This window comes from Homo sapiens, chromosome 11 (genome assembly GCF_000001405.40).
Source record: "Homo sapiens chromosome 11, GRCh38.p14 Primary Assembly".
Taxonomy (NCBI): Eukaryota; Metazoa; Chordata; class Mammalia; order Primates; family Hominidae; genus Homo; species Homo sapiens.
Genome location: NC_000011.10, coordinates 65,231,087 through 65,247,698, shown reverse-complemented (window position 1 = coordinate 65,247,698; position 16,612 = coordinate 65,231,087). Strand labels below are relative to the sequence as shown.

Below are 16,612 nucleotides of genomic sequence, written 5' to 3'. Positions count from 1 at the left end.
TGAAAGAGCTCAGTGGTCCCTGTCTCCACCTGACCTCCCAGTTTCCTTCCCTCCAGCTGTGGATCCCGTTCTCCCTCCACAGCCCCAGGGTCCCCATGACAAGTTCCTGCAGCGATGGCTTCACCCTTTTTCTAATCTCCGCCAGGTCTTCCCCATACCATTTGCCCAGACTTGTGCCTAGGAGGCCAGGCAGTTTCTCCTTATACACCTTGTTTCGTTTCTTTTCTTTTTTCTTTTCTTTTCCTTTCTTTTCTTTTTTCTGAGACTGAGTCTCGCTCTTTTCTTTTCTTTTTTCTGAGACTGAGTCTCGCTCTATCGCCCAGGCTGGAGTGCAGTGGCACGATCTCAGTTCACTGCAACCTCTGCCTCCCAGCTATAAGTGGTTCTCAGGCGTCAGCCTCCTGAGTAGCTGGGATTACAGGTGCCTACCACCATGCCCAGCTAATTTTTGTATTTTTAGTAGAGACGGGGTTTCACCATGTTGGCCAGGCTGGTCTTGAGCTCCTGACCTCAGGTGATCTGCCCACCTCGGCTTCCCAAAGTGCTGGGATGACAGGTGTGAGCCACCACGCCCGGCTTCACCTTGTACTATTCTAAAACATCTGCTGCCTGACTGTGGGCCATGCCAGGTCCACATTGGGAGCTGTCACCTCATGTTCATGATCATTATCATTGGTCTCCATAATTGCCCAAATCCAGCAACCAGAGTGGCTGCAAAAGAAGCATGAGGTTAGAACTCCCCGTCCTCAGCACTCACTCTCTTCTTTGCTACTTGAAAGTCCAGTAGCCTGTTTTCCCAGAGTAGGCATGGAAAGAAAGCAGAAGAGGGAGAAGGGTGAGTTATGTGGTTTGGTCTCATCCAGCCAGTCTCGGCCTCCTTGCTCCTCCCCAACCTCGTAATCAAACAATTATTTAAGTTGGTGGGGGGCATTCCTCCGGGGAGACACCTGCATTTAGAGCTAAACTTTAAAGGCAAAAGTCCATCTTTTGAACATACCTGCTGCCTGGCTGCACAGGTCTGACCAGTGTGGTCATGGGTGGGTGACGATGTAACAAGGTGCATTCTGGCTGCTGTTTTCTGGGGCAACACCACAGCCCAGATTAAGCAGAGTTCTCTTTTCCACACACAGTTGTCAGCAACTTCCTTGAGGGCTGCACAGCAGCAATGGCCCAGGACACCTTCGGTCTTTCATTTAGCTGATCTGCCTGTGAACCAGGCCCAGGCAATCACTGGTATCCTGAATCCTCCGGGCACCTTGACCTTGAGCCGTCTCCTTGCAGCCACATAGCCACATGGCCTAATAATACTTGGAAATGTATAGAGATTTCAGTAAGAAGGTTGTCATTCATATATACAGATACATATATATATATATATATATATATATATATATGTGTATATATATATATATATATTTTTTTTTTTTTTTTTTTGAGACAAAGTCTCACTCTGTCACCCAGCCTGGAACCATCGTAGCTCACTGCAGCCTCAACCTCCCTGGGCTCAGGTGATCCTCCCACCTAGGGCTCCCAAGTAGCAGGGACTACAGGCACACACTACCATGCCCAGCTAAATTTTTTTTAGCAGAGATGGAGTCTTCTGATGTTGCCTAGGCTGGTCTCTAACTCCTGGTCTCAAGAGATCCTCCCACCTTGGCCTCCCAAAGTGCTGGGATTACAGGCGTGAGCCACTGTGCCTAAACTTGTTATCACAGATTTTGAAAATAAAATGTACTGACTATTCAGTGTTTCCAGATGGAAAAGAAAAGAAGTCTGGAGGTGATTTGCCAGTTACCATAAAGATTATTATAAAAGGTGCCAGGCATGTGGAATCCTATTTAAACAGCCCAGTCTATATGTCATCATTGGGCACTCATTTTTATTTAATAGTTCCTGGCCAGTGTTTTTGGCTAAGGACAATGGTAGTCAAAGGCTTTATGGTTTGATTCCGTGGCCTGAAACCTGTAACCTCAAGATCATTTATACTTGTCATAGGAAACTTCATGGTCAGAATATTTCTTCAAGAAAATCTAGTTTGTGGCCAGGCGTGGTGGCTCACGCCTGTAATCCCGGCACTTTGGGAGGCCAAGGCGGGTGGATCACTTGAGGTCCGGAGTTCGAGACCAGCCTGACCAACGTAGAGAAACCCCATCTCTACTAAAAATAAAAAATTAGCTGGACGTGGTGGCACATGCGTGTAATCCCAGCTACTCAGGAGGCTGAGGCAGGAGAATTGCTTGAATCCGGGAGGCAGAGGTTGCGATGAGCCGAGATCACGCCATTGCACTCCAGCCTGGGCAACAAGAGCGAAATCCAGTCTCAAAAAAAAAAAAAAGAAAGAAAGAAAGAAAAAGAAAAAGAAAGAAAATCTAGTTTGTTCACTTAAAAGTATGTATTGTCTGTGTGCAGGGAAATCAAATTAGCTTACTAACTCCATGGTAAGTAACTCATTAACTATGAGGTCACAGTCTTGTTATAATTAACCTTATCTGCTGGATTGGAGTGGGCTCTAGCACTGGTTTTTTTGTTTTTTGTTTTTTGAGACGGGGTCTCACTCTGTCGCCAGGCTGCTGGAGTGCAGTAGAGCAATCTCAGCTCACTGCAACCTCCGCCTCCTGGGTTCAAGTGATTATCCTGCCTCAGCCTCCCGAGTAGCTGGGTCTACAGGTGTGTGCCACCATGCCCAGCTAATTTTTGTATTTTTGGTAGAGACAGGTTTTCACCATGTTGGCCAGGATGGTCTCAATTTTTTGACCTCGTTATCTGCCTGCCTTAGCCTCCCAAAGCGCTGGGATTACAGGTGTGAGCCACCACGCCCGGCCTGGTATTTTTTTTTAAAAAGCTCACAGGTGATTCCAAGATTGAGAACCATTATTCTAAATTTTCTTCAAAAATAAAAATAAAGGCTGGGTGTGGTGGCTCATGCCTGTAATCCCAGCACTTTGGGAGGCCAAGGCAAAAGGATTACTTGAGTCCAGGAGTTTGAGACCAGCCTGGACAAAAGAGCAAGACCCTGTCTCTACAAAAACTTTAAAAATTAGCCAGGCATGGTGGCAGACACCTGTAGTCCTAGCTACTTGGGAGACTGAGGCGGGATAATTGCTTGAGCCAGGTAAGTCGAGGCTGCAGTGAGCCAAGATCATACCACTGCAACTCTACCCTGGGTGACGTAGTGAGACCCTGTCTCAAAAATAAATAAATAAAATAATAGTCATTCACGGCCAGGTGCTGTGGCTCAAGCCTGTAATCTCAACACTTTGGGAGGCCGAGGCAGGTGGATCACCTGAGGTCAGGAGCTCCAGACCAGTCTGACCAACATGGTGAAACCCCGTCTCTACTAAAAATACAAAAATTAGCTGGGCTTGGTGGTGGACGTCTGTAATCCTAGCTACTCAGGAGGCTGAGACAGGAGAATCGCTTCAACCCAGCAGGCAGAGGTTGCAGTGAGCTGAGATCACGCCATTGACCTCCAGCCTGGGCGACAGAGTGAGACTTCATTTCAAAAAAAAAAAAAAAAGTCATTCACTCTGGCAACATGAACTGAGCACCTGCCATGTGCAGGCCAGGTCAAGAAAAGATGATTTAACTTTGCCTTTGAGGAGCCACTGGAGAGATCAGCATGTAAATGGACCCATCACAACACAATGGGAAAGTGCAATAAGGAGATTGCAATAGAGGGCATGGGGCAGCAGGCTGGGGTGGGGGGGATGGGGGTGGTGCGGGGGAGTGGAGCAGCACGCAGAGGTAGGCAGGTGTGGTCAGTGAAAGCTGCCTGGAAGAGGTAACCCCCAAGGTGAATCTCAAAGCATGGCCAGGCACAGCAGCCCTCTGCCTATTGAAATCACTGATTTGCTGAGGGCTGTGGGTGGAGAACAACTCGAATGGAAAAGCTCATGTAGCGGATCACACAGGTGTTCCCTGACATGTTCAAAAAGAGGTTAAATCCCTGGGGAGGAGCTGAGGATTCAGTGCATCAATAACAGGGCCTTGGGACAAGTCCTTGGGGGAGTCACATTCCACCTCTGCTCCAAGCTGTTGGAAGACTAATCTTGGCAAAACGGCAAGCTGCCATGCTTCCTGCCCAGACTGTGATAGTCTTGTTTCTTCCCTATATTGTGCCTTTCTTTGGGCTGTAGGGGACTGAGAATTGATCTTGTTGGATTATCTGGTAACTCCAGGAAGAAGGGATCAGACAAGAAAATTTGGCCAAGACAACCCAATGGGCCAAGATTCGAATCCCTTATAAATCTAATCTGAATTCCAGTGAAGGTTAAGGTCAGGGATACATGGCCAACACCTGGGCTGGAAATAGATCTGAGGCCAGCGGGATGCTGTGCCAAACTAGGCCTTCTCCTCTCTGTAATCCCAGCATTTGGGGAAGCTGAGGCCAGAGGATTGCTTTAGGCCAAGAGTTCAAAGCCAGCCAGGGCAACAAAGCAAGACCCTATTGCTATGAAATAAAAAAAATAGCTGATCATAGTGGCACACACCTGAAGAAGGCTTCTGGGGAAAAGAACCATATCCCAGTTCTGCAAAGTGGTATTGCTAGGAATGCAAACAACGCACAAAGGTCTCCATCTATTGCGGGAGTCTGTTTTGATCATTTCTTCATCAACTATTTATTAAACATGCAGCTTCTGCAAGGCCACTATGAGGGGCTGCTGGAGCTACAAAGGTAGGCAAGAATGCCTGCTATGGAGACATTTTCCTGTCAAGGAGGTAAGACACACACACACGGGGGAAAGAGCTTTAATCCCATAAGGCAGAAGAGTATTTACTCTTTCCGGGTGAGTGGAATAGAATGAGTTCTCCACGTTTCTCAAGGATGAGTGGGGCTATTCCAGGGACAACCCTTTGGCAGAGATATCACCCTAACCCTGCAAAGACACAGCATTCTCAAGTGGAACAAGAATAAACAGTGATATGATTTGGCTCTGTGTCCCCACCCAAATCTCATGTTTAATTGTAATCCCCGGTGTTGGAGGTGGGGCCTAGTGCAAGGTGCTTGGATACTGCGGATGGTTTCTAATGGTTTGGCACCACCCCCCTAGTGCTGTCTCGTGATAAAGAGTTCTCACGAGATCTGGCTGTTGTAAAGTGTGCGGCACCTTCCCCTTCACTTTCTCTCTCTCCTGCCAGCCATGTGAAGACGTGCTTGCTTCCTCTTTGCCTTCTGCAATGATTGTAAGTTTCCTGAGGCCTCCCAGCCATGCTTCCTGTACAATCTGCAGAACTGTGAGTCAATTAAACCTCTTTTCCTTGTAAATGACCCAGTCTCAGGTAGTTCTTTATAGGAGTGCAAGAATGGACTAATACAGAGACATTTTAAGGGGCAGATTGGGGATGGGAAAGGAAAACAGTCTCTCCTTTGGTCCCTGGGACTGGCTTCTCCTGGCTTTCTATGCATTTGTAACACAGATTGGCTGTTTCTGGTGGGGTTTCCCTCCAAGCAGCCCTGGCTTGTGGGTGGCTGTCTATAGGAGCCATGATGTTTTCAGCGACCTTTCCTCCAGTTCAGCACCAGTGTCCCCAGGGGCTCCTGGGAGAAGCCCCCAGGGGGCCGTCTGGACATCGGCTCAGGTGCTGCTAGCAAGCACCAGGTTCCAGGCAGCTTAGATGGTCTCTTTGAGGGGAGATGCTCTCAGCTGCTGAAGAGAAATTTCTTCACTCTTCTCTTCTACATGTTTCTTGGAAGAGCCTTCTTTGACCCTGTAGAAATGAAAAGGCAGAAGGCAGTGGTGAGGGGCAGGTGGTGTGCATGTCATGGGGAGGGTGGTGCCATATGCACAGGGTGCAGCTCCACCCTCCTGAAGCCAGAAGGGAGGTGGATGCTGCAGTGGCCCCTCCTCTGGATTCTCTTGGGCACCCTGGTGGCCACCCTCCTATTGTTCCTCCAGCTCCCTCCTTGCTCTATCCCTGGGGTCTTGCAGCTGGCAGAGGCTGGCCTGTCTGGAAACAGACTTGGGAGAGCTGCAGGGTCAAGAAGTTCAACAAAGAGTCTTACAGATGAGGACCTAGAGGGTGGACACATGCCCAAGGTCACTTGGCTGGAGAACAGGGGCCAGCAGACACCCCCAGCGACTGGGCACTATTAGCACCCTTCTTCTCCCACCCCAGGAGGCAGGGAGGGACAAAGATTAGGGCTCTGAGCCACTCCTGCCCTGCCCTGGTTGGCTCTTGAAGAAGTCAGGGGAGGTTGAGGGTGGTGGGGGGCTTGCCTGGACTTTGAGGCCCCCTCAGTCCCAAATAGCCTGAGGCTACCCCACTGGCTTTCTATCACTTGACAAGATCCAATTTTGCCTTTTTTGATGGGGGGGTAGAAATGGGGGTCTTGCTATGTTGCCCAGGCTGGTCTTGAACTCCGGGGCTCAAGCAATCCTTCCGCCTCAACCTCTCAACGTGCTGGGATTACAGGTATGAGCCACCATGCCTGGCCTATCGCCTTAAAAAAGAACCCTCTAGTCTTTGAAATGATTTATGTTCTAATTCCTTCCATTTATTTTTATTTTTGTATTGTGGACACTGATAACTGTTTTCCCACGGAATTATCTTAGTTTTTTTAATCCTCTTTTTTTTTTTTTTTTTTGAGACGAAGTCTTGCTCTGTCGCCCAAGCTGGAGTGCAGTGGTGCAATCTTGGCTCACTGCAACCTCTGCCTCCTGGGTTCAAGCGATTCTCCTGCCTCAGCCTCCTGAGTAGCTGGGACTACAGGCGTGCCACCATGCCCGGCTAATTTTTGTATTTTTAGTAGAGACAGGGTTTCACTATGTTGGCTAGGTTGGTCTCGAACTCCTGACCTCATGATCCACCTGCCTCTGCCTCCCAAAGTGCTGGGATTACAGGTGTGAGCCACCGCGCCTGGGCTGTTATCCTCTTGTTTTAATCGTTTCATATCTTGCCCATTTCTCCTGTCTACTTTAAGCTGTTTCCATTTTTGGATTTTTTCCAGCATTCATACTGTTTTATCTATGTTTCTATCCTTGCTTTTTAACTCTTCTATTTATAATATTTTAGTCGATTGGCTTAATCTTCCCAACTCCCCCACCCCAACCCCACTGAGATGGAGTCTTGCTCTGTCGCCCAGGCTGGAGTGCAGTGGTGCGATCTCGGCTCACTGCAACCTCCACCTCCCGGGTTCAAACGATTCTCCTGCCCCAGCCTCCTAAGTAGCTGGGATTACAGGCACCCACCACCACACCTGGCTAATTTTGTATTTTTTTTTTTATATATAAACTAGAGGTTTATTTTTCTCTACTTAAAAAAGTCTGGAATTAGGTAGTCCAGGGATGTTGACAAATTCATCACGCACTTCCTCCTTTCTTCTCCACCATTCTTAGCACATGGCTTCCTTTCTTTTTTTTTTTTTTCTTTTTTTTTTTCTTTTTTAATTTATTTTTTTATTGATAATACTTGGGTGTTTCTCACAGAGGGGGATTTGGCAGGGTCATGGGACAATAGTGGAGGGAAGGTCAGCAGATAAACAAGTGAACAAAGGTCTCTGGTTTTCCTAGGCAGAGGAACCTGCGGCCTTCCGCAGTGTTTGTGTCCCTGATTACTTGAGATTAGGGATTGGTGATGACTCTTAACGAGCATGCTGCCTTCAAGCATCTGTTTAACAAAGCACATCTTGCACCGCCCTTAATCCATTTAACCCTGAGTGGACACAGCACATGTTTCAGAGAGCACAGGGTTGGGGGTAAGGTCACAGATCAACAAGATCCCAAGGCAGAAGAATTTTTCTTAGTGCAGAACAAAATGAAAAGTCTCCCATGTCTACTTCTTTCTACACAGACACGGCAACCATCCGATTTCTCAATCTTTTCCCCACCTTTCCCGCCTTTCTATTCCACAAAGCCGCCATTGTCATCCTGGCCCGTTCTCAATGAGCTGTTGGGCACACCTCCCAGACGGGGTGGTGGCCGGGCAGAGGGGCTCCTCACTTCCCAGTCGGGGCGGCCGGGCAGAGGCACCCCTCACCTCCCAGACGGGGCGGCTGGCTGGGCAGGGGGCTGACCCCCCAACCTCCCTTCCGGACGGGGCGGCTGGCCGGGCGGGGGGCTGACCCCCCCACCTCCCTCCCGGACGGGGCGGCTGGCCGGGCAGGGGGGGCTGACCCCCCCCGACCTCCCTCCTGGACGGGGCGGCTGGCCGGGCGGGGGGCTGACCCCCCCCACCTCCCTCCCGGACGGGGTGGCTGCCGGGCGGAGACGCTCCTCACTTCCCAGATGGGGTGGCTGCCGGGCGGAGAGGCTCCTCACTTCTCAGACGGGGCAGCTGCCGGGCGGAGGGGCTCCTCACTTCTCAGACGGGGTGGTTGCCAGGCAGAGGGTCTCCTCACTTCTTAGACGGGGCGGCCGGGCAGAGACGCTCCTCACCTCCCAGACGGGGTCGCGGCCGGGCAGAGGCGCTCCTCACATCCCAGATGGGGTGGCGGGGCAGAGGCGCTCCCCACATCTCAGATGATGGGCGGCTGGGCAGAGACGCTCCTCACTTCCTAGATGTGATGGCGGCCAGGAAGAGGCGCTCCTCACTTCCTAGATGGGATGGCGGCCGGGCTGAGACGCTCCTCACTTTCCAGACTAGGCAGCCAGGCAGAGGGGCTCCTCACTTCCCAGACGATGGGCGGCCAGGCAGAGACACTGCTCACTTCCCAGACGGGGTGGTGGCCAGGCAGAGGCTGCAATCTCGGCACTTTGGGAGGCCAAGGCAGGCGGCTGGGAGGTGTAGGTTGTAGCGAGCCGAGATCACGCCACTGCACTCCAGCCTGGGCACCATTGAGCACTGAGTGAACGAGACTCCGTCTGCAATCCCGGCACCTCGGGAGGCCGAGGCTGGCGGATCACTCGCGGTTAGGGGCTGGAGACCGGCCCGGCCAACACAGCGAAACCCCGTCTCCACCAAAACCAGTCAGGTGTGGCAGCGCGTGCCTGCAATCGCAGGCACTCGGCAGGCTGAGGCAGGAGAATCAGGCAGGGAGGTTGCAGTGAGCCGAGATGGCAGCAGTACAGTCCAGCTTCGGCTCCGCATGAGAGGGAGACTGTGGAAAGAGAGGGAGACCAGAGGGGGAGGGGGAGGGGGAGGGGGAGGGAGAGGGAGAGGGAGAGGGAGAGGGAGGGAGAGGGAGGGAGAGGGAGAGGGAGAGGGAGAATGGCTTCCTTTCTTAAGGTTACTTCATGGTCAAAGATGGCTGCTGCAGCCCTCAACGTTTTGCTTGTGTTCCCGGCAGCGGGAAGAAGGAAGTAGCAAGAGCCTAATTTTGTATTTTTAATGGAGACAGGGTTTCGCCATGTTGGCCAGGCTGGTCTCAAACTCCTGACCTTAGGTGATCCACCCACCTCAGTCTCCCAAAGTGCTGGGATTACAGGTGTGAGCCACTGCACCTGGCCCATACATGCACTTTAACACTCCGCCTCCCATACCCTCATCCTCTCCAAGCCCTGCTCAGCACCCAGATGAAGACTGTCCTCCCCCACTTGGCCTGCAGGGAATAAAGTGGACAGGGACAGGGGAAGATATGAGGCTCTCGTAGTTGTCCAGACAAGAGACAATGGTGGCTTGATATAGGGCCATGGACACAGGGCTGGAGAGAGAATGACAGATTTAAGTCTATTCTGGAGGCAGAAATGATAGGACTTGGGCTGGGCGCCGTGGCTCACGCCTGTAATCCCAGCACTTTGGGAGGCCGAGGCAGGTGGATCACAAGGTCAGGAGTTCAAGACCAGCCTGGCCAAGATGGTGAAACCCCATCTCTACTAAAAATACAAAAATTAGCTGGGCATGGTGGCGGGCGCCTGTAATCCCTGCTACTCGGGAGGCTGAGGCAGGAGAATCACTTGAACCCGGGAGGCGGAGGTTGCAGTGAGTCATGATCGCACCACCGCACTCCAGCCGGGGTGACAGAGTGAGACAATGTCTCAAAAAAAAAAAAAAAAAAAGAAAGAAAAGAAATGATAGGACTTGCCAAAGAATATATCCTTGATCTCTTGCAGTTCAGCCTTGGCCCATGGCTCAGGTTAGAGATGGAATGTTTATGGGAGTTATTTCAGGGTTGCAAACACAGCACCTATACAGGCCACTGGGTACAGATGGGTCCACCTTTGGGATCAAGCTGACCTTCAGAGAGGGTTACAGACGGGCGCGGCTACTGTTCCTGTCACCATTCCCGCAAACTAAGGGTCTTCCCTGAGCCCACTGTTGCTGAGAAATGCTGCAAGAAGCAGCCAGATCAAGTCCCCTCTTGAGTTTGTTTTAGAAACATTGTCCAGGACATTGCTGTCACCTTAGTGACCTTTCTAATGAGACCCACACTTGAAGCCAAGATGATCTTAAAAAAAAAAAGAAAAGAGGGGTGGGGGGCCAAGCAGTGAAGAGAAACCTCTCCTAGTGCTAAATGCTAAGGAAAGCTTCACTCTCCTGAGGGACTGGTATTTGTTTTCCTTTCCAAGAGCAGCCATGAATGGGGTCTCCCTTTCTGTTGTGAAGAAGCCCAGAACCAAATTTGAAGCCTGCACAGCAACCATGGGAGCCTGTCTTTGCTTCACTTTCCTCCGCTCTCCTCTCCTCACTTCTCTGCCACGTCTCACTTCCAACCCACGTGTTTCCTTGTTCACGGTTTATTCTTTTCTACCTTCGTGATTGGGTCTGTTCTTGGGGAAAGCTAAGCCAGTGCAGATGGAGGTGGGGGAGGCATCTCACAGCTCTGGTGCATCTGGCCAGGACATTTCCGATACGCAGGAGTGGGGAGGGCACCCCATTTGCCCCCCAGTTATTTCCTGTAACTTTCGGCCTCTTGGTGCTGGAGGCCCCTCACCTCCTCTCCATGGCTGCGATGGTCTCCACCAGGGGCATGTTGCGGGTCTCGGTCAGGACGCAGACGGCCAGCCCAGCCAGGATTGCGGTGGCCCCAAAGCTCACGGGTGGCAGGATGGTGCTGTATTCCCCAAGTGTGGTAACCAGGGGCGCCGTCAGGCCCCCGAGGCGGGCGTGGACAGAGGCAAAGCCCATCCCCATCTGCCTGTGGGAGGTGTGTGGATGGGGATGGGTCAGTGCAGCAACCTGCACCCCTAGGGGCCCAAGAGGGCCACGCCCTGAGTGTCAGAGGACAGGGCAGGAGGGACCAGGGGTCCTGCCTCGGTGAGCCCAACAGGTCTCAACCTGCAGCATCTCCCCCCATGCACCCACCTGATCTCCGTGGGGTACAGCTCGCCGGTAAACAGGTACACACAGATGAAGGAGCTGGCCAGGCAGCCTTTGCCCAGCGCTGCCTGGGCTGTGCACAGGATCTGCGTGCCTAGACAGGGGAGTAGGGTGCAGCTGAGGAGGAGGGGAGGAGAGGGAGGCCCAGGGTGTAGTGGAGAAGGGTGGAGCCTCAGGAGGGGATAGGGCGAGGTGGGGGGAAGAGGCAGAGCCCACTCAGAACCCAGAGGAGAACCAGGATTTCCACCACCTCCCCTTCCCAACTGTTCCTAGGACCCAGGAGTCCCCTGACTGCCCTTCTCTGACTTCTCCCTCCTTGCTCCTTTATTTGCATCTGTCACCAAGTCCTGCTGGGTAGGCAGGTGCTTTAGAGTCAGGCCTGGGTTCAAATTGCAGCTCTCACCCCGCTGGCTGACCTAGGTCAGTGTTTCTTACCCACTCTGCACCTCCCTGTCCTCATCTGTAAAATAAGGAAAATAGCAGCACCTGCTTCATGGGGTTGGCGTAAGCTGGACACAATGCCAGGTGTGCAAAGTGCCCATTAAATGTTTGCCATTGCCTTCATTTTCTTTCTTTCTTTCTTTCTTTTTTTTTGAGACAGAGTCTCTCTGTCACTGAGGCTGGAGTGCAGTGGCACAATCTTGGCTCACTGCAATCTCTGCCTCCTAGGTTCAAGCAATTCTCCTGCCTCAGCCTCCTGAGTAGCTGGGATTATAGGTGTGCACCACCGCGCCCAGCTAATTTTTGTATTTTTAGTAGAGACAGGGTTTCACCATGTTGTCCAGGCTGGTCTCGAACTCCTGACCTCAGGTGATCCACCTGCCTTGGCTTCCCAAAGTACTGGGATTACAGGCATGAGCCACCGCGCCCGGCCCATTGTCCTCATTTTCAATATGCTTCTCCCGCTGTTGTTTATAAGTAGCAAAACCCCTATTCAAACATCCAACGTTAGGACAGCAGTCAAGGAAATGATGGTGCCTTCTCTGGCTGGGTGGCAGCCCTGGCTGCACATTGGAATCAGGTGGGGAGATTTTATAAAACACTCACACCTGGGTCTTACTCAATGTCCACTCTAGCAAGACCTACTGGGGATGGGCTCAAATTTGGGTATTTTTTAAAGGTCCCCAAGAGATTCTATTGTGAGGCCAGAGTTAGAAACATCAATCTAGATGAAATATTATCTAGGCTGGGTGCAGTGGCTCTCGTCTATAACCCCAGCACTTTGGGAGACCAAGGCAGGCAGATCGCTTGAGCCCAGGAGTTTGAGACCAGACTAGGCAACATGGCAAAACCCTGTCTCTACACAAAAAATACAAAAAATTAGCCAGGTGTGGTGGAATGCACCGGTAGTCCCAGCTACTCAGGAGGCTAAGGTGGGAGGATTGCTTGAGCCTGGGAGGTCGAGGCTGCAGTGAGCCATGATTGTGCCACTGTACTCCAGCCTGAGCCACAGAGTGAGACTCTGTCTTAAAAAAGAAAGAAAAGAAAGAAAAAGAAAGGAAGAAAGAAAAGGAGGGAGGGAGGAAAGGCAGAAGGGAGGAAAGGAAGAAGGGAGGGAGGGAGGAAGGAAGGGAGGGAGGGAGGGAGGGAAGGATCACATAGCAATAAAAAATCAGGTCCATGAGGCCAGGCACAGTGGCTCATGCCTGTAATCCCAGCACTTTAGGAGGCCGAGGTGGGCAGATCACTTGAGGTCACGAGTTTGAGACCACCCTGGCCAAAATGATGAAACCCCGCCTGTACTAAAAATACAAAAATTAGCCGGGCATGATGGCACGCATCTCTAATCCCAGCTACTCTGCAGGCTAAGGCAGGGGAATCACTTGAACCTAGGAGGCAGAGGTTGCAGTGAGCACCACAGCACTCCAGCCTGGGCAACAAATGAGACTTCATCTCAAAAAAAAAAAAAAAAATCAGGTCCATGAAACATTTGTGCTAACATGGAAAAGAATGTGTATGTTTCAACATATAATGAAATAAGGGCACTATATATATATATATATATATATATATATATGTACACATGCACATATATACATATATATGTATGTATCCTATTTATATTTTTGTATGTATAAACATATAAAATATCTCAACTATGCTGAATACAAATCTATAAATAGGAAAAAAGATTGGAATGAAATAGGTCAAGACACCAATAATAACATTTATCCATTTTACAGGTGAAGAACTAAGGCACAGAGAAGTTGGACAACCTGCCCACGGCCAAGGCTGCAGTCACAATGGGCACATGGTTTGGCCCATGCTCTATGTCGCTGCTATTCAACCCTGGCGTCTTGCTGGACTCACTGGACAGTTTGTAAAATACTGAGGGTTGAGTTCCACTCCTTGAGATTCCCAGGGCGCTGGCATGGAGCACCTGGGCCCTGGGAGTTTTCAAAGCGCTCCAGGAGAAGGTCATTTTAGCCAGGTTTGCAAACCACTGTTCCAGGGCCAGTCCAGCTGAGGTTTGAATCCTAACTTCTCAACCCTTGGACATGCTGCCTGCTCAGACTTCGGGGGGCCGCACACACTGCTGGCCACACCGAGCCAGCCCCTGTGCTCTCCAGCTGCTTAGGTGCACCTGTCTAACCTCCCTGGCCACACAGTAGAAGCTCTGAGGGCCAAGGCTCAAGACCTCCACCTGCCACTAATTGCCACTGGGCACTAAGTGCTTAATACAAACTCTAGTAATCAACAGTCGCTTTCTTTTTCTTTTTTCTTTTCTTTGAGTCTCACTCTGTCTCCCAGGCTGGAGTACAGTGGCACGATCTTGGCTCACTGCAGCCTCCGTCTCCTGGGTTCAAGTGATTCTTCTGCCTCAGCCTCCCAAGTAGCTGGGATTACAGGTGCACACCACCACGCCCAGCTAATTTTTTTGTATTTTCTGTAGAGACGGGGTTTCACCATGTTGGCCAGGCTGGTCTTGAACTCCTAACCTCAGGTGATTTGCCCGCCTTGGCCTCCCAAAGTGCTGGGATTACAGGCGTGAGCCACCGTGCCCAGCCTAACAGTTGCTTTCTTTTCAGATCCGGAGACATACCCTTCAGCCTTGCTGCCATGTGAAATTTGTTGTCTACCAGACCCCAGAGGCTCCCAGTTCTTGGTGTGCAGCAAGGGCAGAAGTGGGTGACTCACCTTCTGGCACAAACATGTTGGCGATCACCATGAGCCCGGCCAGGATGAGGAAGGAGGCCACCGTGGCACGGCGGCCCACGTAAATCATGGTGGCGGTGGCCACCAGCATGGCCGGGGTGTTGATGATTCCAAACAGGGCCTGCACCAGGTATAGGCTGAGCCCAAACTTCTGCAGGTCCATGGCCAGGCCATAGTAAGCCACAGAGTTGGAGAACCTGGGAGAGGCAGTGGAATGGTCCTTGTTCACCCCATGGTTCACTGTTGTGAGCCCAGGGGAGGGGACACAAAGGTGGATGACACAGGATTCCTCTCCTCGGGGAGGTAAAATTCCCTGACTTTCCATAAACACCCCTTCACGGTCTCCTAAGTCTCTGTCTTTAGTATTAGAGCTCAGACCCCTCCCTCCACATCCCTTTCTACCACCCACTCCTGGATCCAGTGCATGGGTTCTGGAGTGTTTGCTTTTCTCTGCAGTACCCACCTCAGCGCCGAAATTAAGGCAGTGCTAAAAAATAAAAAGAGAAGAAGATGGAGGAAGGTCAAAGGACACAGGAGCCAATGTGGAAGAGCTCCCAATGGCCAAAGCTGGAGGAATTTGGGAAATAAGGTAAAGAATGTAGTATCTACTAAATAAAGGAAAAACGTTGTTGAATTATAACCCAAAGTATAAACTACATGGTTACACATGAGCCTATATAAATAAATGATTTCATAAATAAGTCTTTCTTAAAGAAGAACTCCAAACAATGTGTGTAAATACTCCACTCCTAGGCTGGGCACGGTGACTCATGCCTGTAATCGAAGCACTTTGGGAGGCCAAGGCGGGTGTATCATGAGGTCAGGAGTTCAAGACCAGCCTGGCCAAGTTGGTGAAACCCCGTCTCTACTAAAAATACAAAAATTAGCCAGGCGCCTATAATCTCAGCTACTCAGGAGGCTGAGGCAGAGAATTGCTTGAACCTGGGAGGCGGAGGTTGCAGTGAGCCGAGATCGCGCCACTGCACTCCAGCCTGGGCAATAGAGGGAGACTCCATCTCAAACAAAACAAAACAAAACAAAACAAACAAACAAACAAAAAAATCCATTCCTTCAGGAGATGAAACTTAGTTTCCCTCCCCTTGAGTGTGGACTGGACTCACTTTCAAATAATAGTATATGGAAAGAGGCTGCTCATGGTGGCTCATACTTTTAATCCCAGCACTTTGGGAGGCTGAGGTGGGTGGATTGCTTCAGCCCAGGAGTTCAAGACTAGCCTTGGCAACATGGTGAAACCCCATTTCTACCAAAAGTACAAAAATTCGCCAGTCTCATAACCTGGTCTCAAAATAAATAAATAGATTAAAATTGAAAAGTAAAACAAGAATATGGAAAGAGAACATTTATTAACTTTACAGTGGAGAAACCTGGTAGACACTACCTTAACCAAGGGATTAACTTCAAAATCACCAGTAATCAGTCATGTTGACATCATATATGCCCTCATATGATATGATATGATATGATGAGAAGGTCATATCACCTCCATGGTTCTCCTTTCCCAAATCCACAATCCCAGTTTAGTCATGAGAGAACCATCAGACAAATCCAAATTGAGGCCAGGTGCAGTGGCTCATGCCTGTAATCCCAGAACTTTGGGAGGCCAGGCCAGTGGATCACCTGAGGTCAGGAGTTCAAAACCAGCCTGACCAACATGGTGAAACCCCATCTCTACTAAAAATGCAAAAATTAGCCAGGTGTGGTGGCATATGCCTGTAATCCCAGCTACTTGGGAGGCTGAGGCAGGAGAATCCCTTGAACCCGGGACACGGAGGTTGCAGTGAGCCAAGATCATGCCATTGCACTCCAACGTGGGCAAAAAAGAAAAAAAAAATTCAAATTGAGGGACATTCTACAAAATACCTGACCAATACTTTTCAAAACTGTCAAGGTCATGACAAATAAGGAAAGACTAAGAAACAGTCACAGATCAAAGGAGACCAAGAAGACATAATAACTAAATGTAATGGGATATACCAGCTGGTGAAATCCAAATAAATCTCTAGTTTAGTTAATAGTAAATTACCAATCTTAAATTATTACTTTTGACAAATGTACTAAGGTAATTTAAGATGATAATATGAGGGGAAACTGGGTGAAGTGGATACAGGAACTCTCTGTACTATCTTTGCAACTTTTCTATAATTATACATTTATAGAAGAATAAATACACATTTATTCCAAAATTTTATGAAGGTAAGCTAACAGAATATATTTAAGAAAACCAATATCCAGAAAATAA

The 16,612-nt window shown here is 50.1% G+C and overlaps 1 pseudogene across 1 annotated transcript in view, besides 2 other annotated features; it reads right to left on the bottom strand.

Annotated features, from left to right (window-relative positions):
* Positions 3,324-3,849: an enhancer, noted in NCBI's record as "OCT4-NANOG hESC enhancer chr11:65011321-65011846 (GRCh37/hg19 assembly coordinates)". NCBI's record gives its function as "activates a minimal SCP1, AML or CMV promoter by ChIP-STARR-seq in primed H9 embryonic stem cells {active_cell/tissue: H9 hESC(primed)}" and the evidence as "EXISTENCE:reporter gene assay evidence [ECO:0000049][PMID:30033119]".
* Positions 4,942-16,612, bottom strand: part of SLC22A20P (solute carrier family 22 member 20, pseudogene) — a 28,918-nt pseudogene continuing 17,247 nt past the window's right edge. Inside the window, exons 7-10 of the transcript NR_033396.1 lie at positions 14,335-14,549; positions 11,182-11,290; positions 10,811-11,014; positions 4,942-5,709 (exon numbers count right to left, since the gene is read on the bottom strand). The product of NR_033396.1 is annotated as a solute carrier family 22 member 20, pseudogene (transcript). The remainder of the gene's footprint in view (positions 5,710-10,810; positions 11,015-11,181; positions 11,291-14,334; positions 14,550-16,612) is intronic.
* Positions 5,034-5,234: a silencer, noted in NCBI's record as "peak1301 fragment used in MPRA reporter construct". NCBI's record gives its function as "represses an SCP1 promoter by STARR-seq MPRAs in K562 erythroleukemia cells {active_cell/tissue: K562}" and the evidence as "EXISTENCE:reporter gene assay evidence [ECO:0000049][PMID:32103011]".